At 39.2% G+C, this 12603-nt stretch overlaps 1 protein-coding gene and 1 long non-coding RNA gene across 3 annotated transcripts in view; one reads left to right on the top strand and one right to left on the bottom strand.

Annotated features, from left to right (window-relative positions):
* Positions 1-12603, bottom strand: part of LOC101927118 (uncharacterized) — a 117987-nt gene that overhangs the window by 13306 nt on the left and 92078 nt on the right. For both annotated transcript variants that reach the window (XR_001745980.2, XR_242492.3), the window contains exons 4-6: positions 11431-11582; positions 5352-5482; positions 4618-4766 (exon numbers count right to left, since the gene is read on the bottom strand). This is a non-coding gene — a long non-coding RNA (uncharacterized LOC101927118). The remainder of the gene's footprint in view (positions 1-4617; positions 4767-5351; positions 5483-11430; positions 11583-12603) is intronic.
* Positions 1-12603, top strand: part of FABP12 (fatty acid binding protein 12) — a 65159-nt gene that overhangs the window by 24001 nt on the left and 28555 nt on the right. The window lies entirely within an intron of this gene.

Raw genomic sequence — 12603 nt, 5'->3', positions numbered from 1 at the left:
CTATTCAGGTTTTGGATTTCCTTATGGTTCAATCTTGGTAGGTTGTATGTGTCTAGGAATGTATTCATGTCCTCTAGATTTTCCAATTTATTGGCATATAATTGCTTATAGTAGCCAATAATGATCCTTTGAGTTTTTGTGGTATCAGTTGTAATGTTTCCTTTTTATCTCTGATTTTATTTATTGGATCTTCTCCCATTTTTTCTTAGTCTGAGTAAAGGTTTGTTGATTTTATTAATATTTTCAAGAAAGCAACTTTTCCTTTTATTGATCTTTTGTATTGTTTTCTTCATTTCAATGTCATTTATTTCTGCTCTGATCTTTATTAATTCTTCTCCTAATTTTAGATTTGGTTTGCTCTTTATTTTCTAGTTATTTAAGATGCAACATTAGGTTGTATATTTGAAGTTTTTCTTCTGTTTTGATGTAGGTGCTTATACTGATAAACTTTCCTCTTAGTAATGCTTTTGTTGTATCCCAAAGGTTTTGGTATCTTGTGCTTCCATTATCATTTGTTTGAAGACATTTTTTAATTTTTTTCTTAATTTTTTCATTGACCCACTGGTCATTCAACAACACGTTGTTTAATTTCTACATGATTGTATAGTTCCCCAAATTCCTCTTGTTATTTATTCCATTGTGGTCAGAGAAGATACACGATATAATTTCAATTTTTTTTGAATTTTTAGAGCCTTGTTTTATGACCTAACTTATGGTCTATTCTTGAGAATGATCCATGTGCTGGGGAAGAATGTATATTCTGCAACCATTGGATGAAAAGTCCTGCAAATACCTATTAGGTGCATTTGGTCTATGATGCAGATTAAGTCCAATGTTTCTTTGCTGATTTTTCTGTCTGGATAGTCTGTCTAATTCTGAATATGGGGCACTGAATTCTCCAGCTATTATTGTATTGGACTGTATTTCCCTCTTTAGCTCTAAAAATATTTGCCCTATATATCTGGGTGTCTCAGTGTTGGTTGCATATATATTTAAAATGTTATATCTTTTTGCTGAATTGGCCCCTTTATCATTATACAGTGATCTTCTTTGTCTCTTGTTATAGTTTTTTTTCTTGAAATCTATTTTGTCTGATATGATTATAGCTTTTCCTGCTCTGTTTTGGTTTCCATTGGTATGATTGTTTTTTTATATCCCTTTATTTTCACCCTATATGTGTCATTACATGTGAAATGTGTCTCTTGTAGGCAATAGATCATTGGGTCCTGTTTTTTAATCCACTCAGACAGTCTATTTCTTTTGATTGGAGAGCTTAGTCCATTTACATTCAATGTTATTATTCAGGAGTAAAGACTTACTCCTACCAGTTTCTTATTTGTTTTCTGGTTATTTTGCAGTTTTGTCTTTCCTTTTCTTTCTGTCTTCCTTTTAGTGAAGGTGATTTTCTATGGTTGTATCTTTTAATTGCTTTTTAATTTTTGTGCATCTGTTGTTACATTTTTTGATTTGAGGTTACCATTAAGCTTGCAAATAACACCTTATAACCCATTATTTTAAACTGATGACAACTTAGGGCCAATTGCATAAACAAACTGACAGAGAGAAAACTGATACAAACTACATTTTACATTTGTCTTTGTACTTTTGAACTTTTTGTTGTTTTTATTTGTATCTTATTGTATTGTCTCTATCTTGAAATGCTGTTGTAGTTATTTTTGTTGGTTTATCTTTCAGTTTTTCTGAAAGAAAAACTACTCAAGTTATCAGTTTACACTCCACAATTATATTTTATAATGTTCTGTGTTTTTCTGTGTACTTTCTATTACCAGTGAATTTTATACCTTCAGATGATTTCTTATTGCTCACTAATTTCCTTTTCTTTCTGATTAAAGAACTCCCTTCAGCATTTCTTATAGAACAGGTGTGGTCAATGAATTCCCTTAGCCTTTGTTTGTCTGGCAAAGTCTTTATTTCTCTTCATGTTTGAAGGATATTTTTGCTGGATGTATTTGTTTTTTTTTCTTTCAGCACTTTACATATTCCATGCCACTCTCTCTTGGCCTTGTAAGGTTTCCACTGAGAAGTCTTCTGCCAGACATATTGGAGCAACACCATGTTATTTGTTTCTTTTCTCTTTCTGCTTTTAAGATCCTTTATTTATCCTTGACCTTTTGGAGTTTGATTATTAAATGTTTTGAGGTAGTCATATTTGGGTTAAATCTGCTTGGTGTCCTATAACCTTCTTGTACTTAAATATTGATATCTTTCTCTAAGTTTGGGAAGTTCTCTGTCATTATCCTTTTGAATTAACTTTCTACCCTCTACTCTTTAAAGCCTCTACTCTTTAAGGCCAATAACTCTTAGATTTGTCATTTTGAGGGTATTTTCTAGATCTTGTGGGTGTGTTTCTTTCTTTATTATTCTTCTTTCTTTTTTCTCTGTTGACTGTGTATTTTCAAATAGCCTGCCTTCAAGATCACTAATTCTTTTGCTTTATCAGTTCTGCTGCTAAGAGACTTTTATGCATTCTTCAGTATGTCAGTTGCATTTTTCAGCTTCAGAATTTCTGCTTGATTCTTTTTAATGATTTCAATCTCCCTATTAAATTTATCTGATCAGACTCTGAATTTCTTCTTTGTGTTATCTTGAATTTCATTGTTTCCTCAAAATTACTTATTACCTATCTGAAATGTTATGTATTTCTGTCTCTCCAGGATTGGTCACTGGTACCTTATTTAGTTCATTTGGTGAGGTCATATTTTCCTGGCTGGTCTTGATGTTTGTGGAGGTTTGTCAGCATCTGGGCATTGGAGAATTGGGTATTTATTATAGTCTTTGCAATCTGGGCTTGTTTGTACCCATCCTTCTTGGAAAGGCTTTCTAGGTATTTGAAGGGACTTGCATGCTGTGATCTAAGTGTTTGATCACTGTAGCTGTATCTGTTTAGGGGTATCACAAGCCCAGTAATGCTGTGGCTATTGCAGACTCATAGAGGTACCACCTTGGTGGACTTGGATAAGATACAGAAGAATTATCTGGATTAACAGGCAGAGACTGGTCTTCACTCCTTCATTTCCCTCAAACAAAGTATCTCTCTGTGTGCTGAGCTGCCTGGAGCTGCGGGAGGGGTGGCCCAAGCACCCCTGTGGCCACCCCCACTGGGTCTGTGCTGGGTCTGACCTAAAGCTTGCAAAGCACTGGGTCTCACACAAGTCCTGCTGTAATCATTGCCTGACTACCACTTACATTTGCTCAAGGCTGAAGGCCCCAGGACTCTTATGATGAGAGGTTGTGAAGCCAACCAGGCTTGTATCCTCTCCTTAGGTAAGTAAGTTCCCCCGGATCCTGTGCAGGTCCAGAGATGCCATCTAGAATCCAGGGCCTAGAGTCAGAAACCTTAGGAATCTATGTGGTCCTCTATTCTACTGCAGCTAAGCTGGCACCCAAGCCACAAGATGAAGTTCTTCTCACTCTTTCCCTTTCCACAAGCAGGGGAGTCTCTTCTCTCCTGTGGCCACCACTGCCCCAGGCCCACAGTGAGTACTGCCTGGCTACCACCAATGTTCATTCAAGGCCCAAGGGCTCTTCAGTCAAGCTGTGGTAAATGCCAGATGTGGAACTCTCCCTTCAGGGCAGTGAGCTCCTGACTGGTCCAGGGCAGGTCCAGAAATGACATCCAAGAGCCAAGGCCTAGAATTGGGAACCCCAAGATGACACCTGGTGTTCTACCCTACTGTGGCCAAGCTGGTAGGTAAGCTACAAGACGAAGTCCCTTTACTTTTCCCTCTCTTTTTCTCAAGCAGAAGGGGTCCCTCCCCACAGCCACCCAAGGTGGGAAAAGACTGGGTCACCCCTGAAGCCAACACATCTCTGAGTCTTACCCAAGGGCTATAGTGATACTGCCGGGGTACCACTGCTGATTATTCAGGGCTCTTTAGTCAGCAGGTGATGAATCCTGCCAGAACTGGGTCCTTCCCTTCAAGGCAGCAGGTTCCCTTCTAGCCCAGGGTGTATCTGGGAGCTGGCATCTGGGATAGGGGCCTCAGGACTTTGCCTGATGCCCTATCTTACTGTGGCTGAGCTGGTATCCAAGTTGCAAGATAAAGTTTTCTTTATTCTCCCCTCTCCTCAAGTGGAAATAATCCCTTTTGGGGCTGGGAGCTGTACTGCCTGGTGTTGGAAGAGGCATGACACAAGCACTTCTCTGGATACCCTGGATAGTAGCTTACTATGTCATGTGCATCCCAAGTTCACTGGCTCCAATCCTAGCACTGCACCAGGACTTTCCTGGGAATTGCAGTCCTTATGGCCTAGACTGGCCTCTAAGTTTATTTAGGACCCCAGAGCACTTTGCCCCTCAGTGATGGGGCTAGCTGGAACTCAGGTTCCAAACACTGGGATGGATAACTCACCTCTGCCTAGGGCTGGCCTCAGTTCTCCCTCTGTGGGCACCGGCTGAGTTCTTCTAGTGTTGCTTTCGGCTTTGACAGGGCAGTACTGAGTTCCAATGCAAAGTCCCACAATCACCGTGCCCTCCTTCCCCCATGCACACAGATTCTATCTCTGTGCCATTGGTGATTCAAGACTGTCTTTCCTACCCTCTTCAGTGCCTCTCTCAGTGATATGAAGTTAAAACCAGATACTGTGATCACTCACCTGATTTTTGCTTCATATGAAGGTGATTTATGTGTGGATAGTTGTTCAATTTAGTGTTTCTGCAGGGAGAACAATGGGTGAAGGCTTCTATTTGGCCATTTTGTCTACCTTCCATATCACCAATATGTTTTAGGACCTTAGGTACAGTACTAGAAGAGAAAAAAATCAGTTTATGCCACTTTATTTTTTGCCAGTGGGTTCTCAACTTTTCAAACTTAAGCTTGGACCAATCTATTATATAGATTATTTTCCCATTTATGAAGTACTTTCATATGCACTGTTATCATTTTATTCTTTCAGAAAGAGTGGGAGATAATTACTCTGTTTTAGAGATTTGGAACTGAGAACAATTAGGACTTGCCCGAGCTCTCACAGTGACCAAAAATAGACTAGACTAGGAAGAAAAAATTCTGCCAGTTTTCCACCAAATCCTGTTGCTTCTAGGGGCTGGGAAAAGAGAACGAGAGGTTCTTAGAAAAGACATGTGATACAAACATAGAGTGGGATGAGAAGTTGTGTGCAGAGAAGGGTGGCCGGGTCACCTTCCCTCCTTTGCCCCGCAGCATTGTGGCTCCTCAGGCCACAGTAACACCCTGAAGATACAACAGCCAAATGTGAGTTCAACACGGAGGTTACTTTTGCTTTCCTCACTTACTACCTAGAAGCAGCACAGCCTAAGGATTAAGAGCATGGACTTTAATGTCACAGCGTCCTTGCTTAGCTCTGCCACCTACCAGCTTGTGTGCTCCTGGGGGAACTCAATCTCTGCAGTCTGTGCTTCTGTAAAATGGAGATAATATTTCTCTTATTTGTTGCTGAGGAGACTAAATGAGGTAATGATGACTCCTACAGAGTTCTTGAGGAACTTGGAAGAAATAAAAGATGAGATTTTTAAAAATCTGCAGTAAATTGCATGTATGGTCTAGACTTTCAAAGTTGTGTTCCTCTGGCTGAATACAATCCACTAATGTGTTTTGTCTGGCTGATGGGGGGATGGCCTGTCCAGTATTTAGAATGTAAAACAACCTTTTTTGAGGCCAATAAAACAAGGCTATTTGTTCACAAAAAACAGAAAAAAAGAAAGGAAAATAAGATGAGAAATGCCTTGACTATAATTTAAAGATGGTGTTGCATTTAAATTTTTCCTTCAATTTGTAAATTAGAGCTTTGTTCCAGCATCTTCTCTTGAGTTTAGAGGTAAGGTGAGTCTCTCCAAATCCTGTCATCTCAGCATAAAAAAGTATGAGGAAAATAGAGAATAGAAGTGATTACCTGCCAAGGGGAGGGCAGTAGGGGCCAATTATGTCTGGTTATTTACTTCTTCATTTCCTTCAGTTGACATTCTTTATTGTAAGTCTTCGTCTCATTGTACCTGGAGACCATTGCAGCAGCCATATGTAAATATAGCTGAGGGAATGGTGAGAAACTATTCTGTTGGGAAATACTTTTAATTATTTTTTTCTCAAAATGAATTCATAATAAGAGATTGTGGCTTGGCTGGGGATGAGGATGGAAGGACAGAAAGAACAAATAAATAAATAGAACATATTATTTTCCCATATAATGATATCTGAACATTGCATTCCTACAAAGAATGGTTTGAACTATGTGGAAATCCTTTCCGCTTGTGAATTATGGTTCAGTAGTTCAGAAATGAAATTGCTTCCTCCTGAGCTAGACTCTAGAGGTTGATCACTTCATCCTGTAGACAAATTTTAACCTCTTCTTGTATCCAGTGGCTTGAACCTCTCCCCAGTCTAGGGGGCAGTAGTGTTGCAAGGCTCACCCAGGTTTTTCTTGAACTCTTAGGAACAGAGCATCAGACACTGAAATTTCTGCAAAGAGTTAGCCAGTGTTACTGGGGAAGACTCATCCTTTGAGGTCTCAGAAAAGTGTAGATCAAGGATCTGCCATTCCAGATTTATTATAGTTGCAGAAAACTAGACTCATGGCAAGGGAAAGAAGCTACGTGGCAAGGCAGAAAGAGCTCATTTCCATCACATCACTGTTGGCTCCATTTGGACCAGCCCCCGATCACCCTGGCCTAGAAAAGGAAGTGGGGCCTAGACCCATACATGAAAAGAACGTAAGATCTAGCCTTGGACAATCCCATATTTGATCAGTTGGCCATCAGGGCATTTTCCAAGGCACCACTGTTAAATAGCCTTGTTTTATTTGCCTCAGAAAAGCTGTTTAACAGCCTAACAACTCGGGGGGGCATAAAACGTCACTGGGACTGCTACTGTGCAGCCAACTGCATGTATGGTCTAGACTTGCAAAGTTGTGTCCCTCTTTGGAATGGAGAAAATTTTATCACTGGAACTCCTCTCAGGGAGAGAACTGTTAGGTGTTTAAAGGAATACATTGATAAGTGGCTTGAAGTGGGTGAAATTTGGGATAAGACTCCAAAGGGGAATGCTCAGAGAACAAGATATGGTAGCTAACCTCTCTTCTAAGGAGAAAGAGTCTTCTCAGATCAAGTTTGTGTTTGGCTGAGTGTAGTGTGTAAGTTTGGAGGTGGAGTGGAATTGCCAGGACCTTAGAAAGAGTCCCCTGTCACTAGTAGGTCCTCCTTCTCTGTCCTTCCCCTGGAAGTACTCATCCAACTTCTTTTTTTTTTTTTTTTTTTTTTTTGATGGAGCCTTACTTTGTCCCCCAGGCTGGAGTGCAGTGGCATGATCTCAGCTCACTGCAACTGCTGCCTCCCGGGTTCAAGCGATTCTCCTGCCTCAGCCTCCTAAGTAGCTGGGATTACAGGCGTGTGCCACCATGCCCGGATAATTTTTGTATTTTCAGTAGAGACGGGGTTTCACTATGTTGGTCAGGCTGGTCTCGAACTCCTGACCTCACAATCTGCCCGCCTCGGCCTCCCAAAGTGCTGGAATTACAGGCACGAGCCACCGCGCCCTGCCCTCATCCAACTTCTATGCACTTAAATGCCAAGAGTATCTCGGCTATGTGACCCCTGAGGGCACATGGGTTTTGCCTGGCCATGGCTGCCTTCACGTGGAGCAGGCTCAGGGACTGCGGCAGCCTGGAAGAGAGAGTGGGTAGGCAGGGCTGGCTCACTGTGGTGCAGGAAAGATGGAGGAGGGGGCTCCTGCGAGTACAGACTGGGTCTTCCTCACATCTACTGTTACCTTTCCTAGACCTGCAAATTGCTCAAAATCCGTTACCTAAGGATGAATGAACAGAATTCTTACTCTAATTGCAATGCACCCTCTTAGGTCCATATGGAAGAGACTCCCCTCTGACTCATATTCATTCCAGCCTCAGTATGTGAGGAGGACTGGGAGGAATGTGTCCTGATGTGCTTTTTTGTCTGTTTACTCTTTTCTCCCTTCCAGGGAAAAAACCCTAGCATTCTTCCTCCTTTCAGAGCACGCAGTAGAGAAGCAAGGTTCCCGATTTGCCAATAATAATGCTCATGCAATCTTCGTGTCTGTTTGGCCTAGAGGGAAACTTGGGCAATCTGGCTCTGCTGTGCTCCAGTGGCCTCTTCCCCAGCTGGCCTCCTGCACCTCCCTCACCGAGTGCCCATGCTGACCTAGGGCCTGGGCAGGCTTCCTGCCCAGGGAGGGCCAAGGCCATGAGTACCAGGGTGTTACTTTCAAAACTCAGGACTAAACACAGAGAAAAATGAATGTCATCTGATTAGGCCTGTATGAGATTTTAAAACCAAATTTAAATGATTTTACAGGAAAAAAAAGCTTTTTCTTATAATAAATGCTTCATTTTTATCCTTCTGCTAAGAAAATGAGAAACTAAAAGACTCGCTATAGGAAACAAAACTAAAGTATAATTTTACTTTTAAAAAACGTTAACATGTTTAACTCAGGTGTCAGCTAGGAGTTCCCTGTAGTTTCAGAAAACACTTAAAGATTTTAATTGATTTCAGACTGAAATAATCACTGCTTATATAGCTGTCTGTGATAGCTAATATCTTACAATAATGTGCTGTGGTGTTCAGATTAACTTTCATCTGAAGAGTTCTTTAGTTCAGGGCAACACATTTTAAGAAATAAGAAAATCCTCGAAAATTTGACCCACATTCAGTGGAAAATGATAAGAATGATGAAGGGATAGGAAACCATGTTATATGAAGAAGGTTCAGGAGTTAGTTAACTTCTACCTGGAAAAAATAACAAATACTTAAAGGGAAAATGCCAACTGTCTTAAAATATTTGGAAGACAGCTAGATTTACTTTGTCCATATCAGGAAAGCATAATTGTGTTTTATAAGTAAAGAGTTACAGAAAAATGGGTTTGACTCAGTATGAGGAAGACTATTTCAAAAATTAGTAGCTTCTAGAAATGAAATATGGTACTTAAGAAAGGTGTGAGCTTGGCCAGGTGCGGTGGCTCATGCCTGCAATCCCAGCACTTTGGGAGGCTGAGGTGGGCGGATCACCTGAGGTCAGGAATTCGAGACCAGCCTGGCCAACATAGTGAAACTCCGTCTCTACTAAAAATACAAAAATAAGCTGGAAATGGTGGTGCATGCCTGTAATCCCAGCTACCCAAGAGGCTGAGGCAGGAGAATCGCTTGAATCTGGGAGGCGGAGGTTGTAGTGAGCCAAGATCACTCCATCCTGGGTGACAGAGCAAGACTCTGTCTCGCAAAAAAAAAAAAAAAAAAAAAGATGTACACTTCCCTTCCATAAAATCATTTAATCAACAAATATTTTTTGAGTGAGTAAGTTCTAGGCACTGTTTTAAGCACCATATATATATGTATAAAATAATAATTTATATATAAATATATATTTAAAATAAAATAATAATTATATATTTTTATATATATAAATAAGGTTTGATAGCCACATATGTGTGATGTTATAGAAGATCTTTGTATTAAAAGAGAAAAGTTAAAATGCATTATTTCTATGGGATATTTTCCTACTTTAATATTTTATATTTTTATTCTTTTGAAGAAAATGATGACAAAAAAAGCCTTTTACCATTAAAGTTAGTCCTTTCTGGACAATGACTATTGTATTATTATTATTCCCCAATGTTAATGAATTGCTATATATGCTATAAGAAGAAGTACTCAATGAGTTCTGGATTCTGGCCCTAGCAAACCCAATGAAAAAGCCACCATGGTAATGAGTTTTCTGTCCCTGTAGGCAGACAAGTATGTCCTTTCCAATTGTTCCAGTCAATGAAGGTATTTTTAATATAACCTCTTTTTTCAAACACATTAACTTTTACCCTAAACTTTGTCCATCTACACATTCAATAACATGCCTTCTGTATCCTCACCAAATCACTTACAGAAATGTTAAACAGGAACAGACACAACACATTCCTGCCGGCTTTCCATCCAACCACTAATCAGTGTTATTGTGGAACCAGGAATGAAACTTGCCAACTATAGTGTTATACATACAATTTTAAAAATCTTATTTATATAGATATTGTGAAAAATTTTGGAAAATGATTTACAAATACCAAGGCACTGTGTTTGTGGCACATTTTGTTCTGCTCATTAAAAAAGCATGATCTGTTACCAAGATACCCATGATCCCCTAAAAATCACCATTTCATTTCCTACATGCTCGCAAACTATATTCATGAATTCATTCTAGCAATTTTCCACAAATTAAATTTGTCTAATTTCTAAAAAGAAAAAAAAATACTAGAACATCTAAAGTCTTTGGTCACTCTTGAGTTAACCTTCTTCTCTAGTGTCTCTAGGTATAAAATTATTTTCCTGAATACTTTTAATTTTGTTCCATGTTCTCCTATTTAAAATTTTTTATTAAGAATGCACTTTAAAATGTATTCCAAGCTGGAGTTTAACAGAATAGCTATATTTTCACTATGGAATAGGATGTTGCCTTAATTGAATTGATACAAAGTAACAAAGAATACTGATTTTAAAATTGCGATACATTTTCTAACATATCCAAGACTTTAAATAACCATCAAAAGATGGCAACTATCCTTTGTGACAGTATTCTTTCCACTGTTCCCATGGAAATTTCATTAGTCACTGAATACATTTTCACTTTAAAACCAGGTTTCCATTTTCAAAGTATCTTATTGTAAATTTTTTAAAAATCAAAAAGAAAAATTGGAACCATTTGTCTGGTATTAGGACTTTAGATTTTAAAAATTTCTAAAAACAATTAAAGTTAGATTTTCTAAACTCTAGGATAAATGTTGAAATCTTAATGTTTATTTGTCTATTTTTCTCTGTACATAGAAATGTCAGCAATCCGAGGCTATGGGTCTTTGTCTTGTTCTCTCCTGTGCCTAGAACAATGTCTGGCACAGAATAGTCAAATATATTTTGACTAACAAATCCGTGGTTTTATTATCTGGCTAATTAAACGAAGATCATGTGATTGTTTCTTTCCCAAGGAACATGTGGCTGCCTTTTAGTTCACAATTTTCCCTTCTTGGTCAGAATTAAGGGTGAAGTAGCTGTTTTCCTCTTCACTTTTTTAGTATTTTCAGAGGGAAATTTCTCATCCAAGTAATTTGTAGCAAGAAAACATGAAAGTGTGTGCCCTGACCTCATTCCATCTCGAATGCTAGTGAGAGGAATTTAGGCTGAAGGTCAGAACCACTTTATCTTAGATCAAGCTTGTTCAACCTGTGGCCCACCTGGGCCACACACGACCTAGCATGGCTTTGAATGCCGCCCAACACAAATTCGTAAACTTTCTTAGAACCTTATGAGATTTGTGTGTTTGTGATTTTTTTTTTAAGCTCATCAGTTATCGTTAGTGTTGGTGTATTTTATATGTAGCCCGAGACAATTCTTCTTTCAATGGGGCCCAGGGAAGCCAAAAGATTGGACACCTTGTCTTAGATCATAGTTCAAGGTTGGTTCTTGTTCTTCCCCTCAGCCGGTGACTTGGCTGATTGTAGTCAATGCCTAAAGATGCTATACTGTGAGTAGGGCAGGATGAGTTGGTTACTGTCGCAGCTCCTACACAAGTAGAATGTGGTTCCTGTAGAATAAAAATAATATTCTTTACTATTGAGAGATAAACAGAAGGTTGAATTTCAGTTATTTCAATGTATCATAATGAGAAGGGAATGGGTTTTGGAATCAGATCTGAGTTCAAATCCTGACTCTGCCATTTAGGGACTGTGTATCCTTAGGAAAATCCCCCACAATCTCTGATTCTTGGTTTCTGCACCTCACAGTTTTTGAGGGGATTGAAATAGGTTTATTTATGCAAGGCATCTAGTACAGAGCTTTGCATATAGTAGGCCTTCCAATGTGGCTTCTATTGTTATTTTAATATCCAGTCGGAAAATACAGACGGTATTGTTTGTATAACCCAACACTCCCTTGCCATTATCTTTGGTGTCCTTGATAAATTTAGGTGCCTTGCACAACTGAGCAAAGAGAATGACACCCTCAAGATAGCTGTATCATAAACTGGCATTATATGCATATATTACTGATTTTTAAAATAATACTTAATTTTGATACACTGTGTGGTTGCAAGTGGAAGGGGGTGGATTTAAGCTACAGGATAGGTCAGTTAAGAAGTCTTCTGGAGCTAAAGGAATGGGACACCTTAATGAAGTACTTAGATTCTCTGCGTGCTGCATCTTTGACACCAAGGTTACATGAGTGAAAGAAACCCTTGTTATGTTGCAAGGGAATTGTCTGATCATTTTGAACAGTGACCCTGTAGCATCCAGAACATCAGCCCCAGCGCTCCTTTTCCCCTTCTCTACATTTGAGCACTGCACTACGTACATCGAGGATGAAGAAACACTACAAAAGTAACATGGTCTTTGCCTTCAAGGGGTTTTAACCTAAATAAGCACAGAAACTAAAACTTATGAAAGTATGAGACACAGGGTAGAATAGTGGGATAAGCCTGAACTGCGAGCTAGAAACTCTGTATTCGAATCTCCATTCTGCCGCCAAATAATCTTGAGTAAGTACAAATTCCCTGTGTAAAATAAAAGCATGACAGATGCTTTCTCTAGGTTCTCCCATTTCTGAATTTG

Source organism: Homo sapiens, chromosome 8 (genome assembly GCF_000001405.40).
Source record: "Homo sapiens chromosome 8, GRCh38.p14 Primary Assembly".
In the NCBI taxonomy this organism is placed as follows: Eukaryota; Metazoa; Chordata; class Mammalia; order Primates; family Hominidae; genus Homo; species Homo sapiens.
Note: the sequence above shows the minus strand (reverse complement) of the source record. Positions and strands in the feature narration are given on the sequence as shown.